This window comes from Homo sapiens, chromosome 1 (genome assembly GCF_000001405.40).
Source record: "Homo sapiens chromosome 1, GRCh38.p14 Primary Assembly".
In the NCBI taxonomy this organism is placed as follows: domain Eukaryota; kingdom Metazoa; phylum Chordata; class Mammalia; order Primates; family Hominidae; genus Homo; species Homo sapiens.
In genome coordinates, this window is record NC_000001.11 from 234,902,282 (window position 1) to 234,929,393 (window position 27,112).

The window sequence follows — 27,112 nt, forward strand, 5'->3', positions numbered from 1 at the left end:
TCATTGTAATGACAGAATCTGTGATCACGATGAAATTAAGGCAAAAAAATTAAGGAAGTAAATATATGATCGTTATAAATTATGAGTCTTTATTTTGTTAGTCATTCAAACAAAACAAAAGAATATTTAAACCTGTATGGCAATAATTGATTCAGTCGTTTTTTATATCTGCTAACTTTGGATCATGTAAAAACTATAGCTTTACCTAATTTTTCAATTTTGTCTTTATGCATATTTTTGAAGTATGAGAACAAACTGTATTTTTTCTAACTCTTTGTAAGCTTGATTGATATTTCTGTATATTTGGGCAAACGAGGGACTTTCTCTGCACTCCTGCCCTGGGCTCTGCATATGTTAGAGGTAGACCCTTCAGTATGAAGAGGATGAGGCCACACACACACAAACATGGAGGGCAGGCAGTATCCGTTTTCCTTTAAGTAACCACCTTTAGATGACTTCAGAACACCTTCAGCTTTTGTTTACAGAAATTTCGTTTGGCCTTTGTAGGAACTTTTCTCACAAGTCTTGCGTACCCAGCACGTAGCTCGGTGCCTGACACAGGAGCCATTCAATCAGCATTTGTTGACCTTCTGCACCTGACAAGCCACCCCGGGTGCTGTAGCTTCCACTCTTCTATTCATTACACATGAGAAGAGAATATGAAACCTCAACAGATTGTGACTGAAGTCTAGATGGTTTCATCAACAGCTGTACATCCCCCAAAAGGAGATACTGAATTGGATTTCACTCATAGGTCACAATTCGACACAACTGTAAACTGTCACCATCACCCTCAAACACAGGGGTGCCATCACTCCAGAAACAGGGGCCTGAAAAATCTTATTATTATATCCCTTAGGTGGCATGCATCACAGGGCACCAAAGTCCCCCCTTCCTTTGTTTCTGGAAGAAAAAGGACCGCCATGGGAACCGAGCTGCTGTATCTGTGAGTGCTTCACAGCAAGAGAAAGTGAAGAGGTGTGTGGGGTAGCAGAAGGCAGTATGACAACCCAGGCTGGGGAACAACAGCTGAGCTTCACATCACAAGGGGATGCATTTTCAGCCAGCCACACACACACCCCCCAGGATGCCAGGTTGCAAAACACTCAAATTCATCTGGAAGCAATAGCACCACCAAAGATCATTTTCACCAAGTAATGAAACAGGTCAGACCACCTTTTTCTTATCTACACATAACAGATTCATTTCTCCCAAACAGTAGGTATAGTATTGTCTTTGCCCCTGGGGTTAGTTCTTCTCAACCTTTTACACAAAATGGCACAGGTATAAAATAATATTTCTGTGGCACGCAGGGGTAAATGGGAGGCTGCTGTTCAAAGCAGGTGATTGGCCCAGGACTTCTGGCTGCTGCTGGCCCCAAGGAGGTGGGAGTCACAGAATTTTGGCACAGCTGAAATGCATTTGGCACAGGCCTCAGTCCATCCATTGGGAAGCCTTGCTACAAGACGATGCCTTTCCTAATACAGTTCCAGAAAGTAGATGGAAGGGGTCCTTTATAATCGTAGATGCACCACTCACCAAGGGAAGGGGCTGAAGAAAGACCTGCCATACATTGTGTGAAGTGGCTCTGCCTTCAATTTCATGGCCAAAGCACAGTCCTGCCCACTTGAAGAAATAGGATCTACCTTAGGAAGATGAGAGAGGTCCTTGGAGGCTTTACTCCTGATTTCCTCTTCTCGTACCCACTTTCCCACCAGGGAAGAGCTCCCTGCCCTACTTCGGGATCTTGACTTCCCTGGTGGGCTCCTCAGATTCTCCCCTCACTCAAACAGAGAGGGCCACCCAGCAGTGATGTTCCCTGCTCCTTTGGCAGAGCTTCCAGCCGCCTAAGATGCTGCCTCAACAGCATTTACATGTTTAGGCTTTCATCTCTAAGGAATTTTTCCGGGCATGGGGGTGCATGCCTGTAATCCCAGCTATTCTGGAGGCTGAAGCAGGAAGATCGCTTGAGCCCGGGAGTTCTGGGCTGCGGTGCGCTGTGCTGATCAGGTGTCCACACTAGGTTCAGCATCACTAAGGTGACCTCCTGGGAGCCAGGGACCACCAGCTTGTCTAAGGTGGGTGAACAGACCCCGCCCGGGTCGGAAACGGAACAGGTCAAAACTCCCATGTCCATCAATAAGGGGATCGTGCCTGTGAATAGCCACTGTACTCCAGGCTGGGCAACATAGCGAGGCCCCATGTCTAAAAAACAGAATAAAATATTTTTCTAGGAATCACAGTATCAGTAAGTAGGAAGCTCCTTGCTGCTGCTGGAAATGGGATTGCGTATGACATTGGTAGGATTAATAAGGTGGGTGCTCCTGAAATCACTCAAAGCCTTCTAGCATGACCCCAAAGGTGACCGATTTGCAAATGTTGATTAAATTGTTCCTCCAAGCAAATCTGGTGAGGATAAAATTAAAAGAATGCCTGAAAAGCATTTTTTAAATTTTGATTAAAAGTCCGTGGCACACAGCGAATCGGACACCCAGAGCAGAACATTTAACAACCTCTGCATGCCACAAAACTATTCACGTAAAGATCACATAATAATCAGTCATGGCCATTACTTTCTTGATGTTTTCTTTATCTTTAAAATCAACAATTAAAAATTTGGAAAGAAAAATAAATGCCAGCGTTGAAAATACTATTCAGACACAGAAAAATATTTTACGTATGAACTAAAATTTGTACTCACCAAACAAAAATATTACACCTTGCAATTCACACTCTGCTTCACTGTGTTAAATTTTTAACATAAACAAAATCTTCAAGCAGTGATGCAGACTGACGGAATTGAAGTAGTTTAAGTTTATATTTTTGTCTTCACAATTACAAACTATCATTCCTCCTTCTGAATCCACAGAAATTTTTATCTGTCTTTTGAAAAATATTCTGTTCATGTACAAAGCATATGTGTGTATGTATGTCTACCCGCATATACATGCACACACATCACCTTTTAAAATATTGTTAAATGTTCGGCAGGTTTCTAACTTCATTTAACACTATATATTGGAGATTGTACCATAGGTACTCTATTATAGTATATATCAGTTTGTATAAATCTACCTTATTTTTGTTGGCAATTGAATCATATTCTATTAAATTGATATACCATTTTGTAAAGGAATGTGTTGTACCCAGGGATGGAAGACATAAACTACACCCACAGTCAGAATTAATGCTTCCAGTTCATTACAAATTCACTCCCAAAATGAAACATAGTTCTGGATACATGTGTTGGGAGAATCAACCCGCATACCTGAATGTTCTCCAAATTACTTCCCGTTACTTTCCGCAGAGAATACAATTCCTTATTAAAGAAGACATTTAGAAACTGCTAAGACACCTCCCTATTTTATTACAGCTCAACAGTAACTGTATCAATTGTTCAGAATTTAGAGCATAACTTTTTGCACAAGATGACTTTTATCACAGGTATTATCTAACACTGCTTGTGTTTGGTGATAATAAAAAGTAGACTCAATATTTGGTTGATTTTACGCTTGTTTTAAAATTATCTGCAGAAAATGCATCCTGTTATTGCCTGCTCCAGGGAAGACCACTCCCCCGGCTCTGGCTTAGTGCATCCCTGCTAAACATTGTATCACTCCTTGTCTAAAATACAAGCTCTAAGGCTGCCTTCAATCAGCTCCCTGTTTTGAAATGAGATAAACAAATGGTGGAGAGCTTTGTTCTGTAACAAATCCTAATCTTTTTCTCTACTCTAGCACCAGCCAGTTGGCATAAAGGTTATAGACGATGGAAGGCAAAAGAGAAAATCATGTCAATAACTTTTTTTTTTTAAATGGAGTCTTGCTCTGTTGCCCAGGCTGGAGTGCAGTGGTGGTCTCAGTTCACTGCAACCTCTGCCTCCCGGGTTCAAGCGATTCTCCTGCCTCAGCATCTCGAGTAGATGGGACTACAGGCGCATGCCACCACGCCCAGCTAAATTTTTTTTTGTATTTTTAGTAGAGACGGTGTTTCACCGTGTTAGCCAAGATGGTCTCAATCTCCTGACCTCGTGATCCACCTGCCTCAGCCTCCCAAAGTGCTAGGATTACAGGCGTGAGCCACCTTGCCCAGCCAATAACTTCCAAACTCTTACCCCAGTGTCCAGCACCAGGACGGTGGCCACGTACATGCCCCCTACCAGGCCAAGAACTTTGTGTTAATAATTTCATTTAATCCTGTGAACCCTGGGAAGGAGATGGAAAAGTATTAGCATGCCCAATTTTCAGGTGAGAAAATGAAGGCTCAGAGAGATGAAGTGAATTACCCACAGCCTCACAGCTAGTGAGGGACGGAATCCTGATTTACACCCAGCCCACTTAGCTCTGAACCTCCAGCCCAGACCACTCAGGGAAGTAGGTGAAGAGTTAAATCCCTAACAGTCTAGAATGAATACGGTGATAAGTTTCTTAGATGTTCTCCCTTACTTGAAAGATAAGAGCAGCAAAATGGTACTAAGACCCTGGCAAGAAAGGTGGTTTTTGTTTCTCTCTTCATGCCGCCCAGCATGAAGACTGAATGCAGAAAGAGGAAGAGGACCATGACAAGGGCCACTTTACTGCAGTCACTGAGGCACTCGGGGGGGGGCATTTCACGTGCATCCTTGTCACACACATTGTCTAGCACCTGGCGTGCACCAAGTACCACTCCAGGTGCCACAGCAGAAACCTTCTCCTCCTATTCTATATCCTCCTATTCTGCATGGAGCCAGTCAAGGAAAATGTCACTATAAGGAAATATTGTCACTCTAAGGAAACATGTCACCCAGCCTGTGTCTTAAAGAACTAGCATTCTGTGTGGAAAAACATCTGGTTGATTCTACAAGCTGGGAAGACAAGAAGGAACATCATCCAACCACATGCTTCCTCCCTGAGAATTCATTTTCCAGCAAAGGATACACTTGGCCTTGGGGTTCGCCAGCCTGGTGGCCTGGGTGTGGGTCCTGACCTAACCATTATATTTCTTCAGCTGTTTTCTCCCAGAATCACAGCCATCTCCAGAAAGGCTGGCCGCTTCCTAAGTACAGAACCATACATTTCCAAAGTCCTCTGGTGGGATCAGGCACTCAGATTCCCAGACCAGCACTGTGACCACTGTTTCCATTGCTCCCTGGACACCCGTATATTCCAGCGTTTGAAACTTTGAGCTTTGGAACATCAGACCTGTTTCTCATCTTAAAGAAAAAGTTACATAGGAAAAATGAAACCATTGCCCTGAGAAATGCAGGAAAAAAACAAAAACAAACAAACAAAAAAACACCTTGAGCCTGAGAAGGTAGGAAGAAACAAAGCTAAGATTCAAACCGAAGTCTTCTAGCTCCACAACTCCTGTTTTTTCTAACTGTTTCTTTTCCTGCATAGCATCTTCTTGATCAATTTCTCAACTACTGATAAACCCATGTCACAGGCTTCAATGGCACTGTCCCAGCTGATGTGAAAATCTGTTGGTCTGGTATTTCATGGCCTTCTTTAAAAAAAAAGAGAGGGAGAGCCGGTCTCGACAGAGACCTCGGTAGATGCCAGACTCTGTGCTGGGTGCTTTCTACGCCTTGTCTCCTTTAAGTTTCATGAGAGCCTCATGAGGTCAGGACTATTATTTGGTTCTATTTGGGGGGGTTGCTAGAATTCGGAAATTGCCTTTGCTTTTTTCTGGGTGCCAAATCACTGAACCGCTGAACAGGACTCTGGTAATGCTAGTATCTGGAGCTAATGAGTAACTTTATCACAGAATGCCTGAGCAGCTGGAATAAGTGCTGGGAGGAGACACAGGTCCCGGCCCAGGAAAAACTCTTGTGGTTGGCAAATAATGCAGGATCTTTATGGTGGAAGATTTAATTTCCCTGTATGTGTTTTTTCTTACTTAAAAAAAAAAAAAAAAAAAAAACTTTCAGCACTTAATGCCCCATCACAGCAGCACAGTATGCGTGTCGTGCTAACATCTGGAAATACTTAGTGGTATTACAAACAGTTAAGGAGTTCACCCAGATAATCACATACAAATTGGACTCTAACCCAGATTCATAGTAGTGCGTATCAAGAGTGAAAGAGCATTAAGTTCCTGACTGCAATCTTCTCCTCTAGAGCTGAAACAGACATCGTTAGTTCAGGTTCCTGAGCCTGAAACAGGCTTGGAGGTCCTGGGTCTGTTTCCTGCTGGTAGACTCAATGGAATCCAGCAGAAATGAGGCCACAGGAGCCCAGGCTAGGCAGGGCCCTGGATGAGACAAGGTGTGACCCAGACAGACTGGAGGAAACTCAGTCTAGGGTATGAGAGCAAATGTGGGTCTATAGGCAGGGGATAGAGGGGAAGCAAGGGGTCAGGACCAATGGACAGCACCAAGCACTAGGGCTCAGGGCCAGACCATCAGCAAGAGCTCGGTGGCTGGGTCATCAGAAGCACAGCAAGCCACAGTCAGGACACAGGCCGGGAACACGATGCTAAGGTTAAGGCCCTTCCTGGCAGGTGCTTATGGAGGGGGGCTGTTAAACCCACCGAATGCAGACCCAAGTGGGGCTGGATGTGCACACACAGTCCCCTGCCACTCGCCGCTGCCTGCTGGGCCTTCTCCACTGTGGCTGTTACGTGTCTCCTCCCAGCACCCTCCGAGGCCGCCTTCTCCTATATTTCCAAAGCCAGTCTGTGTGTGCAGGCCCCTTGCCTCCAGAGGCTCCAGCTTCATCTCAAGAATCATTCGCTCTCTGTTCCAGTTCACCCCAATGCACCTCGCCTCCCATTTCTATTGCGAACAGAGCTCTCAGAGCCTTTCAGGGACTCCTGTGGCCATCACCAAACTGTTGGCCAAAGAACACAAAGGCAAACGAAGTACAAAGCCCCCTCCTCTTCCAGCCCTCTCGGCCCCCCACCCCACCCTAACTTGACAGTTGCTCTCTAGTGTCACAGAGTCTTCTATTTGCAGAAAGAATGCTAGGAGGATACACTGGGCTACTGGATATATACCCATGCAATCCCTTAACTACAAAACTAACCTCCTTTTCTTCCACAAACCTCCTTATAGGTTTATTCCAGACTCAGCAATTAACACCACTGTCCACTCAAAGCTAGAAACCCAAGGGCTACCCCAAACTCCTCCTCCCTCACTTCTCCCCATATCCAAACAAATACCAAGTCCAGTGATTTTTTTAATTCTAAAAACTTCTCACAGTTGTGCCCTCCTATCTACCTGGGCTCCACCATGACTCACATACCTGTGACAATAGCCTCTAAGTTGGACTTCTGGCCTCTAAGTGCTTCCAGGACAATCTTTCTAAAATATGAATTTTATAGTGAGCTTCCCTTCCTTGGAAGCCTTCACTGATCTCCTATGGGAGATGGATGGCATTTGCTCCTCATCAGAAATCCAAGACCCTGGGAGATATCAGTCCTTTATCTCCTCCAGCCTCCTCTTTCTCCCTGGTTCAGATCAGAGGGATTTAACCAGGACTGTGAATAGGCTGCAAAGTCCATCAAGATCTACCAAGATCATGTGCACAATGCCGGGCATATGTGTGCCAGAAATGGAGAGACTCCCAGTAGCTTTCAAATGTCTCTCAAGAGTCCATGGCCCAAACACAAGGTAAGAATCCTTCATATGGCATTCCTCCACAAGCTAGGCCCTGCTATCAGAAGTTTTCAAACATTTCACCATGAGCCACAGTAAGAAATAGATTATCCTGGTTTTGTTTTTGTTTTTGTTTTTAGGAGACAGGGTCTCACGCTGTCACCCAAGCTGGAGTACAGTTGTGCAATCATAGTTCACTGCAGCCTCAAACCCCTGGGCTCAGGCGATCCTTTCACCTCAGCCTCTCGAATAGCGAGGACTGCAGGCAGGCATCACCATGCCCAGCTAATTTTTTAATTTTTTGTAGAGATGGGGTCTTGCTATGTAGCCCAGGCTGGTCTTGAACTCCTGGCCTCAAGCAATCCTCCTGCCTCAGCCTCCCAAAATGTTGGGATTATAGGTGTGAGCCACCACACTTGGGCAGAAACAGATTATCTTTACACATAAGACAGAACGAAATTTTCACAAAAGAGTCCTTATTCTTACTACATTGGATATACTCTGACCTCTACTATTCTAGCTATTTTTTTAATGCTGACTGTGACCCATTAAACTGATTTTACAACCCACCCACCAGTGGATTCCAACCTGCAGTTTGCAACGGAGGTCTTGATATTGTATTGTCTTTATGATTCTCGGTTATTTTGTGTGCTCTTGATTATTTTTGGCCTCACAACCAGATTATAAGTTGCAACTGGATTGTAAGTTCCTTAAGGGCAGGGACCATGATTTATACATGTTCGATATTGCTTGTAGGACATAGTAGCCACATTAGAAATATTTTGATTCACTGAAACAAGAAAACATCTGGAAGAAAATGTGGGAAAGTCCTGAAACAAAGGCTTCTTGGGACAGAACTTGCCAGCTATTTCATGCATGGAGATGTAAAAATAATTATTTGATGAATGAGTATTCACTGGTTTGTACCTGTGGATGCAACAGGGTAGAGTCTGTGTGGTGGTGGCTCAGTGCAACCACAGCTTACATGAATCTATTTCCTAGGATGGGAGATACACAGGCCGGTGTAGTAGGAAATACATGGGGCTATGAATAGCTCAGCAAAAGCAAAAGATGTACTGTTTCATGTATTTTTTAGCTACAGGAGAAAAAAAATCATTATTGAAATAAAGATGCTGCTTTAAGAGCTAGAACCAGAAATACCATTTGACCCAGTAACCCCATTGCTGGGTATATACCCAGGGGAATAGAAATAATTCTGTTACAAAGATGCATGCACATGTATGTTCACTGCAGCATTATTCACAGTAGCAAAGACACAGAATCAACCCAAATGCCCATCGATAATAGACTGGATAAAGAAAATGTGGTACATATACACCGTGGAATATTGTGCAGCCATAAAAAAGAATGAGATCATATCCTTTGCAGGGACATGGATGAAGCTGGAAGCCATTATCCTCAGCAAACTACCGCAGGGACAGAAAAACCAAACACCACATGTTCTCACTTATGAGTGAGAGCTGAACAATGGGATCACATGGACATGGGGAGGGAAACGGCACACACTGGGGCCTGTTTGGGGGTAGAGTGGGGTGGAGGGAAAGTATTAGAAAGGATAGCTAATGCATGCTGAGCTTAATACCTAGGTGACGAGTTGATGGGTACAGCAAACCACCATGGCACATGTTTACCTATATAACAAACCTGCACTTACTGCACATGTATCTTGGAACTTAAAACTGAAAAAAAGAAAAAAACAAAGATGCTGCTTTGTAGATGACACCACAAGGTAAGGAAGTAACTTTTTTTATTATTAAATCTATCAATCGGTCTATAAGAATTTGTTGCTCTCTGCTGTTGGTGCTATACCAGGCACAGGATTTGGGGACTGTGTGCCTCCTCCTCTCCAGAGCATAAGAAACCAGTAGACATGAAAAAAGTAACAGATCTAAATGATGAAGGGTTAAACTGGTGGTGTGAACTCAAAGGGAAACGTTCAGGAAAGGAGACCTCACACTCTAAGGTGAATTCTTTATTCTAACCCAAAGCTAAAGTGCTAATATTGTCTTGGCATAAACAATACCACAGGAAACCAGGGGCTGGGCCAGCTAGAGGGCCTTTGTCAAGCACTGTGGCTGCTTCTAAGGGTAGAGAGGCTGCCCCGGGCTGGCTTGTGTGTGGAAGGCGGAGGGCTGCCCCGGGCTGCCTTGTGTGTGGAAGGCGGAGGAGACACTGTTTGGGATGTCGCTCTGCCCTCCACCCATCACAGCCCTCAAAGCCCCCACCTTTGACGGGGAGCGTCTTCCCTTTCCTGCACAAATGCCACTGACAGTGTTAATGGACTAGGCTGCTCCTCCTCTTGACTGTCCCACCCCAACCCCCCAATCCCATCATACACAGACCAGAAGGCACATTCTATCCACCACCTCGTTCTCCTCATCTCCAAAGTGAGAAAACAATTTCTGCCTTTTGTGGTTGTTGTCAGAGGGTGAACTGAGACCTGTGTCTTCAGGACCTAGAGCATAGTATGCACAAAATTAATGGTGGTTGCTAATGATTTTATTTTATTCCCTTCGTTGAAGGACTTGTATCACATTCCTGTGTTTGCCTCTCTGACCTGCCAAAGAGCATAAGGGCTCAGAGGGAAGGAGATACAGCTAAAAAAAATAAAATAAAATAAGCCCTTCTATGGTTTGAGTGTTTGTCCCCTGCAAAACTCATATTGGAATGTAAGCCCAGTGTGGCAGTGTTGAGAGGTGGGGCCTTTAAGTGGTGATTGGGTCATGAAAGCTCTGCCCTCATGAATGAATTGATCTATTCATGGATTAATAGATTAGTGGGTTATTGGGTTATCATGGGAGTAAAACTGGTAGCTTTTTAAGAACAGGAAGAGAGACCTGAGCTAGTACGTTCAGCCCCTTACCATGTGATGCCCTGCACACGTCATCCTCTGCAGAGAGTTCCCAGCAGCAAGAAGGCCCTCACCAGATGCGGCCCCTCCACCTGGGACTTCCAAGCCTCCATAACTATAAGAAACAAATTCCTTTTTTTAAAAAAAAGGAATGTATTACCCAAATTCAGGTATTCTGATATAAGCAACAGAAAATGGACTAAGACAAGCCCCAACCCTGCCAATGCCCAGCACAATGCCCAACACACTTGTGCATGCCAGCTCCCAGGCAACAGTGGCAATGGCCGGAATAAAAATAGCCCAGGCCCCCAGGATTTGAGTAAACAGCAGCATTTCATTTTTCAAGTGGAATTTGGCTGAGGCAACGGCACATTGCACCTCCTTTACCAAACGACATTCGCTTCTCCCACACCTCACCTCACCCAACCCCTCGCTGACCACTTGGAATTTAGGGTGATTCACCTGGGCCCCAAAGCCATCACCCCCCCACAGAGGGCAGCAAAGGGACAAGCGGCAGGGAGGATCCTTTGTTCATATCTCCCTGGATGTGCTCTCCAGAGGCAAACTCACTCTCTACGAACTCGAGTCCAAAAGCATGAGAACAGGAGGAAATGTTCGGCTGGGCATTTCTTAATCAAACAAAATAAACTCGGCTACAAGTAGCTTCGAATCTGCCCTCTGGGAGCAGTTCTCTGCCTTTGACACTCTCCCTGGAGACCCATGCTTTGGAAAGGAGATTTAAGATTCCCACCGTAGAGTAAATGCACTCTTCAATTGCAATGCAGCAAAAATGGCCACATATCGGCCATGATAAACCCGTGGCCATATAAACACAGGCTTCTCTCTCTTCTCACCATGGCCTTTGAATCATAATAAACTTCCCTTGGGTTTTGGGTAGTTGTGTTTTTGTTGCATTTAGTTTTTTTCCAATGTATTTAAATGCCAACCACTCCCTCCTCGTTCATATTTGCATTATGGACAAGCTCGTGCCTTTCAGTACAAATAATCCGATGGCAACACGTGGCTACCAACTTGCCCCGTTTCTAGGAAAAGCTGAAGCTGATCATCCTCACCTCCTTGGTGTGAGAACACAGGACCGGGGGGCCTCCGATCTCCTCCTGCCCATTCTGCATATGAAAGAGGGAGTGAGAAGGAAGCCGCAGGGCCTTCTCCAAAACACAGCGGGGCACTGCTTGCAGGTGGCCCGCCAAAGCCGTTCTGTTGTTCCTCCATGGCAGCAGCATTTCTACCTGGGCATACGGCCTTCCAGAATAAACACCACCTTCTCAGCCTCCTTTGCCACCAGATGTGGCCATGTAGTAAGGGCTAGGGAGCAGCAAGTAAGCTGAAGTGCCCTGTGGCTGCACTTGGCGTTTCTTCTTTGTCCCCTCTTCCTTCCTGCTGCCTGAAATGTGGGTGCCGCCATCTCCGACCACGAGGATGAGGAATGGCTTTGTAGACAGGTACTTTAACAAGGACAGAGCTGAGGATCTAGGGAATCTGGGCCCCTGAGGACTTGGTGGATCACTTCCCTCTGGACTTGGTTTATGTGGGAGAAATAAACTCCCATCTTGTTTAAGCCATACTTACATTGATTGGCCCTTTTGTACCTTGGAATTGAGGACACCCCCCACCTCCCCCACTTTGCCTCCTTTAGGGGTTTCCAGGCCAGACTGTCCCCGAGTAGTGATCGGCCTATGGAATTGAGGGTCCCACCACCACCCTCACCTTGCCTCCTTCCAACAATTCTGTCCCAAAACAAAGTCGCCACTGAAGATGGTTAGATTTGGGCAGGTCTAATCCACTAGATCCTGCCTACAAAGCCATTCCTCAACATGAGAACCAAAAAGCACCAGTCATCGCCCAAGCAGCCTTAAGATGGTGTTCAGAAAAGCAGAGCCAGCGGTCCATCCTTTCATTTCTCACTTATTTTATGAGTGAGGACTCTGCACCAGGCACTGGACTAGATCCTGGAGATACAGCTGTAAACAGGACAGACTGGGCCCTGACCTCCCGGGGAAGGCTCACAATTCCACAGAGAACCAGGAGCTGCAATAAGATGAAGGATGCATGATCAGGGCAGCGTGAGGTACGGTGGGTGCATGGCTGGGGCTCTGCCTGGCCAGGGAGCGTGTCCTTTGACGTGTGAGCTGAGACTTGAAGGGAACTTACAAAGATGTCCACTCATCCTGCATTTATCAGACTCATTCTCACTGGAGGACAAATGGCTAGGACCGGCTAAGGGAGAAATATGTACAAGAGCTGGGAGGCAGAGGTGGAGGGGCTCACAGGAGGGGCTCGCTAAGGCTTATGCATCGCCACTCTCCGCTGGGTCACCATGCCATCAGCCACAGCTGGCCTGGCATCACCTCTGGCTTCCATGCATCCTCGTCTTCAGCTTCAGGTGCACCTGCACCTGGGTCAGTCCAAGTGCTGGATCGGGTGTGGGTGCAGCTCTGTAGTGGGGGGCACCAATGTGGTGAGGACAGAGATGGCCACTGTGTCCTCATAGGCTCCACTTTCCCTCTTCTCTCCTCCCCACAACTCACCCTGCTGACCTACAGTAGAGACCTCAGGCCAAACACCTGGATCAAAGGCAACAGCCCTCCACAGGTGTCTTCACCTGCTCCCCTGGGTGGTCCCAAGCAAACACTTGCCTCTGATCCCCACACAGTGTCCTCCCAGATTTGACTTCCCAGCTTCTCCCATGATGGGGCAAGCCTGCATCCCTCTAATCAATCTCTCATTCCTTTAGCTTCATAAGCATTCTGCTTTTCTCTGTCAGAGTCTAACTGATCCAAACATCAATGCGGTGACATTTCAAGAAAGCCTATAGTGTTGTTCCAGATTACAGGACATATAAATATAGTGAATAACATTGGGACCTTTGGTGAAATGTGAATCTGGCCTTTATGTTAGACAACAATATTGGGTGTGGTAAACATATTGTGGTTATGTAAGAGAAAGTCCTTATTCCTAGGAGTTGCTAAAGTATTTAAGGGTGAAGAGCCATAATGTCTACATCTTAATCTCAAACTATTCAGCAAAAAACAGGAATAATATCTATACCTAGAGGGAGAGAAAGCAAAATGCTCATTTATAAATTCACAGGAAAGATATACTATGCTTGCAACTTTTCCAAGGTATGAATTATTTCCCAAAAAAAAAACAAAGAATACAATGGAAAGATGAAAAAGCGTAAGGAGAATGGGAGGTAGACAGAAGCAGGCTGGGAGGAGGTGCTGAAGAGAAGAGCTTGGAACTCCTGAGTCGCCGAGGCTGATCACTCTTGGGGGACAGTCTAGCCTGGACACTCCTAAAGGCTGGGGGAAAGAGCCACACGGTGTCCTCTGGCTCTGGGCCTCAGCCTCCCCACATGTCAACAGCCACCTTCCTAACTTTGTTTGCCCTGCTATTTATAGAGCGATCACTTTTCTACATAAAGCCCCGAAATAGAAGTGTTGAAAGAGCAGCTGGTGCCTCACGGGAACCTAATAAAACGTCTGTTTCCAAACAGGCCTGCTTCTCTCTGTCATAAATATTCTGTAGTTCTTGCACTCTCATTCTGTAATAGCAGGCACATTTGCATAAAAACAGGATTCAGTTTATTAAGAATTTATCCCTTCCCTGCTGTTTACTGCCTGCCTGAAGATTCCCAGGGTCGCACATGACGTGACCCGGGGTAGGGTCACACCTGACTTTAGCCCACAGATGAGGGGTACCCCACAAAAAGAGAGAGTGAATGGGCCGGGCGAGGTAGCTCACACTTATAATCCCAGCAGTTTGGGAGGCTGAGGCGGATGGATCACCTGAGGTCAGGAGTTCAAGACCAGCCTGGTCAACGTGGTGAAACCCCATCTCTACTGAAGATACAAAAATGAGCTGGGCATGGTGGTGGTGAGCGCCTGTAATCCCAGCTACTCAGGAGGCTGAGGCAGGAGAATCACTTGAACCTGGGAGGTGGAGGTTGCAGTGAGCTAAGACGTGCCACTGCACCCCAGCCTGGGCAACGCAGCAAGACTCTGTCTCTAAAAAAAAGACAGAATGAAGGCATAAAGAAGGGTGTGGACATCCGTGGGCTTCTATTCCTCTACTACAGCAAAAAAAAAAAAAAAAAGAAAGAAAAAAAGAAAAGAAAAGAAAAGAAAAACCCATAAAATTTGACACACATACACACACGCCAAGCGAATTAGCTTGCCAGGTCCCTAGGGGAATGTTTGGTGGGGCCTGGAAGGGCAGCCATCACCGGATGGAGAGGCAGACGCCTGAGATGGCCTTTAGGGTCCTCTTGTCCCCTGAGACTTCCTGTCTTTTTTTGGCTTTCAGATTTGTCATTGGATGATGTATTAGTCTTCTAAGACTGTGCTATGGTTTGAATGCACATATCCTCCAAAACTCATGTTGAAACTGAATCCCCAATATGACAGTATTGAGAGGTGGGGACTTTAAGAGGTAATTGGGTCATGAGAGCACTGCCCTCATAAATGGATTAATCCATTTGTGGATTAATGGGTTCATGGGTTATCATGGAAGGGGAACCAGTGGCTTTATGAGAAGCGGAAGAGAGACCTGAGCAAGCCCGCTCGGCCCCCTCACCGTGTGAAGCCCTGCTCTGCTGTGGGGCGCTGCAGAGAAGGCTCTCACCAGATGTGCCCCCTTGACCGTGGACTTCCCAGCCTTCTAAACTGTAAAAAATAAATCCTTTACTTTACAAATTACCTAGTTTCAGGTAATTCAACATAAGTAACAGAAAATGGACTAAGACAGGCTGCTATCACAAATCTATCCCAAGCCGGGTGGCTTAAACAACGGGAATTTCTTTCTCGCAGTCTGGAGGCTGGGGGACCCAAGATCAAGGTGCCAGCTGATTGGGGCCCTGGTGAGGGCTCCCCCTGGCCTGCAGCCAATTGCTTCTCCCCGTGTCCTCACATGGTGGAGAGAGAGAGGAGCGTCGAAGGGCACCAACTCTATCGGATCAGGGCTCACCCTGATGACCTCGCTTAACCTCAGCCACCTCCGTAAAGCTCCAATCTCCAAACACAGTCACATGGAGGGCTGGAGCCTCAACATATGAACTGGGGTTGGTGCAGGGACATAGACAGTCGGTCCATACAAATGACAACACTGCTGTCACTGAGGGCCCCCAAGCCCTCCTTCCGGTCAGAACTGAAGAACGTGCCCTCCTCTCAGCTGCCCTGGGCCCTGTGACCATTCTCCTTGCCAAATGAAGTCTTCGGTGCCACCAATTGCAGTGGGTAAACGGCCTGCCTCCCACTGAGGGGGCCGAAGGGCCGAGACCGGAGGTAGGTAAGATGGAAAATGCCCAGGTCGCTGCCTGCAGAGCAGGTGAGGACCTGTGTGTGATGAGCACGCCTCTCCCAGGGGCCGACCCGGGGAGAACCACCCCTGACCCTCTGGACGACCGGCACTCAAGGGTCCTGCAGGGCCTGCCCCAAGCACTGTGCTTCTCCCGTGCGAATGCCATTAAGTTTTTTGTTCATTGTTACATGCCTAACAATTGGGAATGTTTTACTTGGAAGCGGTGTGTGATTCCCATCATGCTGTACTTCCTTTGTACTGAACAAGTGTTATTTAATGGGGCAGTTTTGATTGTTTTGGAGATAGGCGTCTATTTGGGAAGAGGCGGGGTTTGTGTGAGTTTGATTGTATTGGCCAGCTTCCTCTATTTTTTCTGGGAAATCCTTCTTCCCGTGTGTGTAGATGGCAAGTCTTACAGAACCGCATAACCACGCAGCCTGTGAGACCCTTGCTCTGGACGGCTTTGAGGCGTCCGACCCAGCCTGCAGCTCCAGAGTCCTGGAGGAGGCCACAGAGGGTGGGGGCAGAGGCTAAGTTTGTGGCGCCTGGGAAAGTCACACTTCGGTAAAGCCATCAGTGCAAGCTTGCCTGTCCCTTTCACAGGCCGTATCGAGTTCCAAATGCAATTCCAGAGGCCTCTTGCTTTCTTCTGGGTCAGGCAGGCTTGGGGCCCCTTCCTTCCCGTCCCTGGGCCCCCTCCCCCACACTGAGAGGCCTTTCCTCTCTCAGGGAATGGCAGCTTTCAATTAAAGAATGACCATTGTTCCTTCTGGGGGAAAAGAGGCCCCGTCCCCTCCGTCCTTTCTCATATCCTGTTTCTGGTTTCTAAGACCCTCCACCTCGGGGCCAAGGCTTTTGCACCCACCTGACACTCCTGCGTTTCCTGCTCCTGCCCCCCTTACTCTTGCCCTCCAGCTTCTGGCCTTTCCCTTGCAGGCCTTCCTGGCCACTAAGGCCCCCCACGCCTGGTGCCCTCCATCCTGCACAGCCCTGGCCTCTGATTTACCTGGGCAGCTCTGCCTCCTCTTTCCTCACCTTCATGCTCCATTGGTCTCGGGCACATTTACCCGGGACGTAGCCTGAGAGACACACAGCGAATTCCCCGAACAGAGTCCTTCGCCCTTCCGGGCAGGCATCACTCAGGACGCACACTGCAGACAGCTTGCTACCACCGGGGAGGGAGGTGACTCTCCCCATGTCTTAATGCCCACATGAGCTCCAGGCAGTGTCCTGCCTCACAGACGCATGTGGCCACCGAGTTGCATGCCAGCTGCCCCTCCCTGGAGGAGCCATTTCTTTTGGCTGCTGGGGCCAGGCCTATGTCCTGCCCTCCCCCTGAGGCCCAGGAGCAGTGCTGGCTGGCTTGGAAGCCCAAAGCCAGAACATCCTTCCTATCTTTTGCAGCCAAAAGCTATTTTCTGTTTACCTCTGGAAGTTCACTTCCTTCTGAATACTGAAAAAATTCTACTGGGATCATTGCCCTACACAGAAAAGCAGACAGAGTTGGGAGTTGAACCCAAGAACCTAGAACCCCGCCAAATGCAAGGTAACCTGAGGGCACATCCCTCAGTCCTCGTGCCTCTCTCTTTCTGTGTGGTCTTGCTGTGAAGGAGTGGTGCAGAAACGTTTTAGAAGAAAGCTCTGGACATAGACACACTCCTGTTCTCTGCCTGTCTTATCCCCACTGCTATGGCCAGGAAGAGAGAGAAACATGCTTTGAGGATTTTGCAATTTCATCCTCCTGGGTTTATAAAATGTCTTTTTTTTTTCTTTTGAGACGGAGTTTTGCTCTTGTTGCCCAGGCTGGAGTGCAATGGCATGATCTCAGCTCACTGCAACCTCTGCCTCCCAGGTTCAAGTGATTCTCCTGCCTCAGCCTCCCGAGTAGCTGGGATTACAGGAGCCTGCCACCACGCCCAGCTAATTTTGTATTCTTAGTAGAAATGGGGTTTCACTATGTTGGTCAGGCTGGTCTTGAACTCCTGACCTCAAGTGATCCACCCGCCTTGGCCTCCCAAAGTGCTGGGATTACAGGCGTGAGCCACCACACCTGGCCTAAAATGTCTTAAACCCACATTTGACCCAATTTCACATAAAAATTAGTAGTTTTTCTGATACACAGGCGTACTTGTCAGAGGAGTTAGGTGTTCCCTGCTTCATGTCCCCAGAGACCAAAGCTGCCACCTCTCTCTGGGTCTGACCAGGCTGGGCTCACCACCACCCCACCCAGCCGTTCTTCTTTCTGCTGGACCCTCCTCCAGCTGGCACCACTGGGGGCCCCTCTCCTAGCACCCCACAGCACTTTCCTGCTCAGCCCTCACCACTGCCACTTGCTACTGCCACAGCCACGCCTCCTCCCAGCCCCTTCCATTCATGCAGAGCTCACACAGAACCTCAGTTCCCTCCAGCTTCCCAAAAGGGACAGCCGATCCGGGCACAGTGGTCCATGCCTGTAATCCCAGCACTGTGGGTGGCAGAAGTGGGAGATTGTTTGAGCCCAGGAGTTTGAAACCTGCCAGGGCAACATAGAAGACTTTGTCCCTATTAAAAAATAATGTATAAAAAATCAAAATAAAAGAAGCAGCCAGTGCAGGTCAGGCTACCTCCTTCTGTCCTGGGACCTTGTGCAGAAACAGCCCCCTTCAGCTGAGCGGCTTGGTGGGTGACATTCACTTCTGAATTCTTTGGGAGTCTCTTTACAGATTGGAACCTGGGTAGGTGACGGCATCTCCTCAGGACAGAGCAACACTGGGCAGGTTAGGGAAGCAAGGCAGTGGCCACACTGGCCATCCGAGGCTGTCTTTCACCTTTTTTACCTTCGGAGACTAGATCAGTTTGTATTCAGGGGCCACTGGTCCCTTCCAGCACTATTGAGGACATGCTTATAAGGGTGTGAGCACACACATAGCCCGGGACCCCGCACCTGTGCTCACCCAGGAGCCAGCGGCCTGTATGTTCTTGCCTTCTTTGTTCCAGTTCCTGGGAAAGAAAGTGGGTCCATGACACCTGTGCTCCATCCAGGTCCCAGGGCCTGCTGAGACAACCCAGATTGTGGCTTACACCAGAACCATCTTGCAGTGAGTCTCCACCAAAAAATAAATGCCCACCATGGCTTTTATCTGGTTTCAGGTGAAACAAGAGCATCTACCTCTCAGGGTTGTCGTGAGGATTAAATGAGATGAGGCATTGAACACGCTTAGAGCGTGACACAGTGCAAGACACACAGTGAGTGCCTGTGAGCAAGCACTTAACTAGAATCACTGTTGCACATCCTCAAGGCTGGTGACAGTGCACACAGATTTCAGGACTCAAAACGATAATTCGTGTAAAGCCGTTGTTGTTATCTTTAGGCTGTGACTAGCTGCCAGACTATGAGAGGTGACCCCGAGTGGTTCAGTGGGACCTTAGCCTCTGAATGAATGTCATCATCCAGCTGAGTTCCTGCATCCACCGTTATTAAGTTAGGACATTCTTTTCACGAGCAAATTCCAAAGTAGAATTGTCAGGAGTCGCATAATTAGTGAAGTTTACTGGCACGAATTATTTGTGTCTTTTGAGTGTTGACCCTTGAGTCTCTGGAAGACTTGAAGAGCTAAAAGTTCTACTCTTTCTCCAGATTCAGGTCCCTAGGAGCCCCCACCTGCCTGATCTGTTTCTGTCCTCCTTCTCTTCCACCCAAGGAAGCATGTAAATGTGCCCGGAGTTCCCAGGGCACCTGGCCAAGGCCACTGTCAACATCCACATACCCAAAGAGCATGCACGCGTCTCTGGGGTTCTTTCCTCCCAAAGCCCAGAGCTGTGACTGTTTCCTGCAGACACAGGATTTCAGGTCAACTCAAGCCAGAGGTCAACCAAGTCCCAGGCCAGAAAATGCATTGTCTGGAATGTTCCTTAGAAACAAATGAGTCTCTCTGTGATGCAAGGTTTAGACGGAAGCAGGCAGGTTAACGTGCCATGTGTCAGAAGTTTTCGTCTAGGTTGAGAGATGTCAATGAATGGCCTGGAGATAATGCTCACTGGGCATTTGGGAAAGTTAGCAGGACAGACATAGACTTCTACCAAGTACAGGGTGCAAAGGCCCACGGGTAACTCCTGAGGGGAGGTGGCAGGTGGGATGGGGAAGGGAGACCTCCAGGGAAAGGCTCTCTCAGTACTTACCTGTTTAAACTATTGGTCTTCTCAGTAAAATTTATTTAAACACACAAAGGCTGCCCCTGCATCATGTTTTTCCAAAATTGTCTGGTCCAGTTCCTTTCCCTCAGCGTTGTATTGTCTATTTAGTTTAGTTTTCTCCTCCTTTAATGAGGACTTACCAACTTTTTTTGCTTCAAAATGTCTATAACCAATTACACAGACTTTCATAAGAAAGATTTATCAAAACAGTAGACACACGTTACTGCCTTGGTCCTATAAACAGAAAATCACCCAGGACCATGTATTTGCAGAATGGCTTTCAAACTTAATCTATGGCTTAAAAGCTGAGACAATTATCAAAGGCTGTTAAGTTCACTCCTTAGTTTGAAAAAGCAGAACTAAAGTGGACACCCCTGTGTGTCCAGAGCTGCACCCTCCCCAAGGCAGGGCAAGGCACTCAGGGGCTTCTCCTTCCCTACAGGGCTGATGACCCAAAACACACACTTTGGTTCAACATTGGGAAAACGACAGCCCTATTCCTTTATTGCTTAAGGGAGAAAGAGGCATGTACAGAGGCCCACTGCTAACCCAGACCAGGAATCATTACTGGAAGGAAGAAACACCTGGAATCTATGGTCAAGGTCTTCTGTTTTCCTTCTGTCCATGGGTTTCCCAATCCAAGGGCTCGCCTCCCACTGGAGGCTCTCCTCAGCCAGGGCGATTAATTTCTGTGCCAGCAACATGCAGACAACCTCAAAAAAGGGCCCTTGCTCTCCTTCCATGGTGCTGCCTGCGCTTTCCTTCCAGTGGGGACTTTCCCATCATGCCCATGCTGTTGGAGGTGTGTTGCTGCCCATGCTTTCCCTCCAGTAGGAGCCTTCCCATCATGGCCCGTGTTGTTGGAGGTGATGATGCTGCCCACGCTTTCCCTCCAGTAGGAACTTTCCCATCATGGCCCGTGGTTGTTGGAGGTGATGATGCTGCCCATGCTTTCCCTCCAGTAGGAACTTTCCCATCATGGCCCATGGCTGTTGGAAGTGACGGTGCTGCCCAGAGTTTTCTCTCGCCAACCCCCCCACCTTTTCCCTGAGAGGGTGCCTCCATCCTGCAACTCCAACCACCTGCTGCTTTTGACGGCCAATATCTTCTGCACAAATTTCCCCTGTGAGCACCAAATCCAAATGCCCAACATCCTACTGGACAATAGATTTTCAAACTCAACATTCCCCAACTCAACTCCTCATCCTCCCCCTACTTCTTTCCCAAATGTATTGTTCTTATCTTTCTTCTCTCCCTGACTCCCTGCACGTATTCAACTTACCTACTTTTTTGCTTCAAAATGTCTACTACCAGTTATGTAGATTCCAAGTCCTCTAGATTCAACCTTAGTAAGGTCTTTGCTCCCACCCACTCCTCCATATCCCCACGGTGACAGCACCGTTTCCTGACCTCAGCACCTCCATCTGGCCTTGCAGTGCTCTTCAACCCACCCTGCAGGCTTGCCTTTCTCTGTCCATCCTCAGCAAACCACCAGGGCATCCGTCTAAGACAGGAAGCTCTGATCACCTTATTTTCCAGCTGAAACCCCTCAGTGGCTCTCCCTGGCGGGCCTCCCCCTCATCCTGCCTCCTGCTGGCCCAGGCCCATCTCATTCCTCATCCCCAGCTACACCAATGCCTGACCTTTCCCAAACACACTGCATCGTCTTGCACAAAGTGTCTCTGCCCGCCCTCCCCACCAGCAAATATCTTCTGTCTCTCATGCTTCCATGCACCACCCCCATGAACACATTTCCCCAGCATAGTGCAACGCACCCTTGGTGCACACTGCTCCCTGGGCAAGAATTTTTTTCTCCTTGCCAGCTCAGCTACTGGACTATAAGCTCCTTGCAGGCAGACATTAGGTCTTGATTCTCTTCCTCACATCCCTCGTGTCTAGCATAGTACCTGGTACACAGAGAGTACATAATGAATATTTAGGGAAAGAGGCAAGAGAAGGGAGAGGAGGAGAAAAGAGAAGAACAGAGAAGGAGAAGGAAAGGAAAGAGTCAAAAGACCAACAGAATTGGGTTGTACACTGCCCACATACCTGGGGAGTTAAGATGCGTGTGCACATTGTGTGTGCACATACACACACACGATGCTACGGTCCTTTCAACAACTTAGCATCATAACTCCAAGTGCAGCTCAAGTTGCAAATTGTAAATCTACTTAGAGAGCCACAGCATTTTCCTTGGAAGACATTTACGGAGTATTACTCGGCACATGCCACCGAAGGCCCTCCATGGGTCAGGCCTCGTGCTAGGCACTAGGAAGACAAAAAACGGGTGAGAATTTGTTTTTACCATTGAGAAGCTCAGAGGAAAAATCTGGGCAGCAAACAAATGGGCCAAATCTGGCCAGCAGCTGTTTTTGTAAATAAAGTTTTATTAGAACACAGCCATGCCATTTACTATCAGGCTCTTTGCAGAAGACATCTGCTGGCCTTGCCCTAGGTAGTAGAGGCCTCAAGGCCCTTGGCCTTGTCCACTGCCAACAGCACACAGCCCCTTGCTAAGTGCTCAACAAATGCATCCTCAAGGCTCCAGAAACTCTCTGGAGTCGGGCTCACTGGTGGAGAAGAACTCCTCCTCTTTATCTAATATTAAAATAAGTGTGCATTTTCCTCCAAGCAAATGTGTGCCACCAGAAGAGGCAGCACAATATCCGGCAGCTGTTGGTGACCTCTCTACAGACATGACGGACTCATTTCCGGGACCGGCCCCTTATACAGAGACTTCCATCCAGCATCCTCACAGTGTCTGGCCTGGGCTGTACAAATCCAGAGACCTAGAAACAGAAACTGTGATTCCTCTCGAGAAGTGAGGCTGCTATGTGGCTGGCGTGCACACCACACTGCCAGCTTCGGGCTCTATTGCCTTATCTTAAATTACAAACTCTACCAGAAGAAAATGTCACCCTTCTGCTGGGGTCCGGAAGGCTTTGTGTGTGTTAACAATCATCTTGGAACCTGCGCTCAAGACGACCTCAAGCACACTTTGTTCTTCAGCTCTGGACGTGTCGTGGCCGTCAGGGTGAAGAGAGAGATGAGAACAGAGGCTTGGACAGGACAGCCCTGGCTGACCAGTCAAGTGTAGAAGACACATACATACATTTCCTTTTTTCCTTTTCTTTTTCAACTTTTATTTTAGAGTCAGGGAGTACCTGTGCAGGTTTGTTACAAGGTATATAGCATGATTCTGAGCTTTGGGGTACGATTGGCACCCAGGTAATGGGCATAGCACCCAACAGGTAGTTTTTCAGCCCTTGCCCCTCCTCCCCTGTCCCTGGTCTAGTAGTCCCCGGTGACTATTGTTCCCATCTTTATTCATGATAGCAAAAACACAGAATCAACCCAGTTTCCCATCAATGGTGAATTGGATAAAGATGTGGTTCATATACACCGTGGAATACTACACAGCCATAAAAAAGAATGAAATCAGGTCTTTTGCAGCAACATGGATGTGGCTGGAGGCCATTAACCTAAGCGAATTAATGCAGGAACAGAAAACCAAATATATCATGTTCTCACTTATCAGTGGGAGCTAAACACATACCTTTCGGAAGGCACCAGAACACTGGTTTGTTCCTGCTTTGTCTTGGCACCAACCCACTTGGCCCCTGACTCATCTTTCTCTACAACACTCCTGTTTGCTTTTCTCTACCATGGAGAAGGTATGTCTCAGTGGAAGAACTATGGGAGGTATTCAGCCCAAACATCCTCTAAGACAGTAAAGTGTTAACAGCTTAGAAAGAGCTGCAGACTATTAAAATGTGAGCTGCGTTAGTCAGCTGAACCGAGAATTCTCATCCTGGCCCTTGCTCTTGGAGGGAATGCATGCCTTAGTGCTTACTCAGCTCTTAAACAGGGTTTGTTGTTTTGTGTGTTTTTGTTTCCCGTGACTGTGTGTGTTTGACTTTTTTTAAACTGTGGTTTAAGAAAAAAAAAAAAAGTTGATCAGTAAGTCAAAGTGTCAGAACTGTCTGGGTTGAAGCAGGCACTCATAGGGAAGCAGGAAGACCAGTCTGTAGGTTTAGGGGAGGGGAGCAGAGGAAACAGAATTTTCATTCCACACCAAGCCTGCAAAATCATACAGACAGGAGAGCCCAGACAAAGCTAAATGTCATTTTCTTTATCCTAATTTATTGATTTCTGCTGGCTGTCGGGAGCTCTCGGGGAGGAAGCATGCTGAGTCCATAGCTAATGCTTTTCGTTGTTCTCACAGTTAGTGGGCCCTGGAGCTTGGGGAAGGGGGTGGCATAAGTGCAGGGAAATGGTGACGAGATGCAAAAGAATCATGGTGGCCAGAGCAGAAAATGTGTGCTCACATTTCTCTCTCTGCAGTGTTTCTGAAATGGCCTCTTCATTTACTTGAAAGAGACCTCATGCCAAAAAATGCATAGCATCATCCCCCACCTGCTCAGTCATGCCTTGAATCTCAAGCCCAGAAACGCAACTGCTGCCGGTGGGGGGTGCACCCCAAAAGTCCTCATCCTGAGAACACCTGTTAAAAAGTCCACGATGGCAGAAATCCCTGGTGCTGCATGGAGAATCTCCACTCAGGTGCGTCACCCCCTAGACGTTAGGAAGGTCCGGGGCAGGTGTCCGGTGGGGTCAGGGAGACACGCAGGTTCAAGGTTGTTCTACAACCCTGAGAGAAATGTCTGGGCCTCAGAACGTCAAGAGAGCTGGTTCTTCAGAGTTCTATTTTCCATTCCGCTACTTTGAGAGGGATGTGGGCTTTCATTGTGCTCGTTATTTTCATGAAAACTCATTACAAAACTGAAACCAACATCACAGAACAATGAGGAATCACCAGCCCATTGAACAAGTGCAGAGCGGCACATATGACCACTGCAATGCTTCCTTTCCAAAGCTCTTTTGCTCTTGCGTGGAGTGGCCCCCGCCACGGGCTTTCCCAGGTCACACCTGCTCCACACTTCTCTCCAGGTGCCTCTGTCCCCTGAGGCCTCACCTCGGGCCCGGGTCGCCCTGCACAAACAGCCCCTGGGCGGGCACACAGCACTGACTCTGCTGCAGTCTCCAGGTTCCCGAAGCCAGCTGCCTACTGGACACTGCACCCTTAAAGTCCCACCGATGCATCCCCAACAGGGTCTCCTCCACGGCCCCCCTTCCTGGTGAAGTCTGATCAGCTTCCAGCCACACAGATGTGAAGACTCATTGTCTCCAAGGAGCCCCAGAGTCCGGTTGATTCCCCTTCTGAATGTCTCCTCATTCTGACCTCCTCCTTCTCACACCCACTGCCCTCCACCCAGCCTGGCCTCAGCCCAGAAGGGCCTCCTCTCCAGCCTCCGTCCGGGTCTCTGTCACCTCACCTGTACTCTGCCCTCCACCTCACCTCTACTCTGCCCTCCGCCTCCCTCTGGAAGGCTGCTGTCCTCCTCCGGGGTCCTTCACTGCTCACTGAACCACCTCTCAGTCTGACCTTCAAGGACCCAAATCTACCAACTCACTCTTCTCTTATTCTCTAACACCAACCCTCAACACCATCAGGCTGTCCCCTGCCACTCCATGAATGTCCGTCCCTCATACCTGTGTCCCCACCATCACCTTATTTAAAATGCCTCTCCCTCTGATCTGCCCATTCAACGCCTCATCGAAGCCCAATTCCAGTCCCTCCCTCCCTGTGGCAACCTTGCCTGACTCTGCAACAACTGCAACCCCATCCTTCTCCCTGCCTTTGTGTCCCCATGTTGCTTCATTATAGTGGGATGTCAATAGGCATTAAAAGGTTGCTGTCTCCTCTACTTCCTTGTACCCATTGTCAAAGACCCCCACCGGCTTGTTCGCAAATTCAGAAAAACGTTCCCCTTCCTCAGAACACTACTGCTCAGAGATTGTCGCATTTACCAAGTCTGTTCACATTTATGAACACATTTATGAAGCCTGAGATGAATGGTGGCCCTAGGACTGCTGGTGACAAACCCGCCTGAGCCCAGCCCCCAAGGTGGCAGGATCACTTCCTACCCACTGTGCACACCAACTTCAGGTTCTTCATTTCCCAGCTTTCAAGTAGGCTTTGTCTATCTCTAGCGGAAACAATAAATAGTCTGAAAACCAAAGCACTTTTGATTTGCAAAAGGCAGGCTGCACTGAGAAAGAGATTTCTCTTAGAATTCTGAAGGATGCCTTCACACATCAAGAACCAAGTTAGAGCTTGGGAGTGCAGGTTTATGCCATGACTATGAGGAGCAGAAGTGAACAGAAAAATGTGGGTTGATGTCAGAGAATAGCTATTTATCTACCGGAAAGGAAATGATGGATTACCAATAGGCAAGAAGAAGGGAATCCACAGAGAATATAGCTTAGACACTTGGGACGAAACTGGAAATGTTTCCCCCAGCTCTCCCCCTCCAAACCGTGCCCCTCCCCCAGTGAAAACGCCAGCAGGGGAGGCAACCAGAAGTCTCAGAAACCCCAGGTGGGCTTGGAAGGAACTAATTAGCTTGGGAGAGCTAATATCTCAAAACAGTATTTACCATCTGATGGATTTTCCCTTCATGGGGATGCATCTCCTCACCGACACTGTAAATCAGCTGCCGGGGCAGGCCCGTGGCACAGGTGTGCACACACCTGGCAGCCTCAGCTCTATTCTCTGCTCACCAGAGTCCAGCAGCCAGCACATAATCCCCTTGTTAATACACTGCTCCACTCCTAATAAGAGCAGGGCAGCGTCCCAGGGCCTAAGGTTTACAGAGACTGCTGAAGAAGGGGCAGTTGGGTCCTTCACTCTTTGGTAGGGGAAGCAGGATAAAAGGGGCTGCTAGAATGTATGGCAGCGTGGAGGGCTGAGCAATGATTCAGAGCTGGGGGATCAGGGATGGCTTCATGGAAGAGGTGGAAATTGGCTTGAGTCTAGAAGGGTGAAGAGCGTGTGATATTGTTTCTTCATCGTCCACCTTCCTCAGACCAAGGAGAAAAGGGGACTTGGCCCCGTCAGAGGAGGTCACTGCCTGCTCCCTGCAGGGACAGGCGGGCCTGGCATCTACACCCTAGATTGGGCCCCTAACTCTACTTTGGTTAACTCTCTAACCCAGAAAGCATTCCTTCACCTCTTGAGCCCGTTTTTTTCCTCATAAAATAGGAAGAGTCACGTTGCCTCCCTTGCCAGTTTGCTGTGAGAATTAAGTGAAAGAGCAGAGTTACATTTC

The 27,112-nt window shown here is 48.0% G+C and overlaps 1 pseudogene, besides 6 other annotated features; it reads left to right on the forward strand.

The window, feature by feature from the left end:
• RN7SL668P (RNA, 7SL, cytoplasmic 668, pseudogene) lies at nucleotides 1,905-2,207 on the forward strand (annotated as a pseudogene).
• Nucleotides 10,693-11,438: an enhancer, noted in NCBI's record as "OCT4-NANOG-H3K4me1 hESC enhancer chr1:235048721-235049466 (GRCh37/hg19 assembly coordinates)". NCBI's record gives its function as "activates a minimal SCP1, AML or CMV promoter by ChIP-STARR-seq in primed H9 embryonic stem cells {active_cell/tissue: H9 hESC(primed)}" and the evidence as "EXISTENCE:reporter gene assay evidence [ECO:0000049][PMID:30033119]".
• Nucleotides 11,439-12,183: an enhancer, noted in NCBI's record as "OCT4-NANOG-H3K4me1 hESC enhancer chr1:235049467-235050211 (GRCh37/hg19 assembly coordinates)". NCBI's record gives its function as "activates a minimal SCP1, AML or CMV promoter by ChIP-STARR-seq in primed H9 embryonic stem cells {active_cell/tissue: H9 hESC(primed)}" and the evidence as "EXISTENCE:reporter gene assay evidence [ECO:0000049][PMID:30033119]".
• Nucleotides 15,415-16,094: an enhancer, noted in NCBI's record as "H3K27ac-H3K4me1 hESC enhancer chr1:235053443-235054122 (GRCh37/hg19 assembly coordinates)". NCBI's record gives its function as "activates a minimal SCP1, AML or CMV promoter by ChIP-STARR-seq in naive H9 embryonic stem cells {active_cell/tissue: H9 hESC(naive)}" and the evidence as "EXISTENCE:reporter gene assay evidence [ECO:0000049][PMID:30033119]".
• Nucleotides 18,095-18,594: an enhancer, noted in NCBI's record as "H3K4me1 hESC enhancer chr1:235056123-235056622 (GRCh37/hg19 assembly coordinates)". NCBI's record gives its function as "activates a minimal SCP1, AML or CMV promoter by ChIP-STARR-seq in naive H9 embryonic stem cells {active_cell/tissue: H9 hESC(naive)}" and the evidence as "EXISTENCE:reporter gene assay evidence [ECO:0000049][PMID:30033119]".
• Nucleotides 24,379-24,458: an enhancer, noted in NCBI's record as "active region_2773". NCBI's record gives its function as "activates an Ori minimal core promoter by ATAC-STARR-seq in GM12878 lymphoblastoid cells {active_cell/tissue: GM12878}" and the evidence as "EXISTENCE:reporter gene assay evidence [ECO:0000049][PMID:35858748]".
• Nucleotides 25,219-25,308: an enhancer, noted in NCBI's record as "active region_2774". NCBI's record gives its function as "activates an Ori minimal core promoter by ATAC-STARR-seq in GM12878 lymphoblastoid cells {active_cell/tissue: GM12878}" and the evidence as "EXISTENCE:reporter gene assay evidence [ECO:0000049][PMID:35858748]".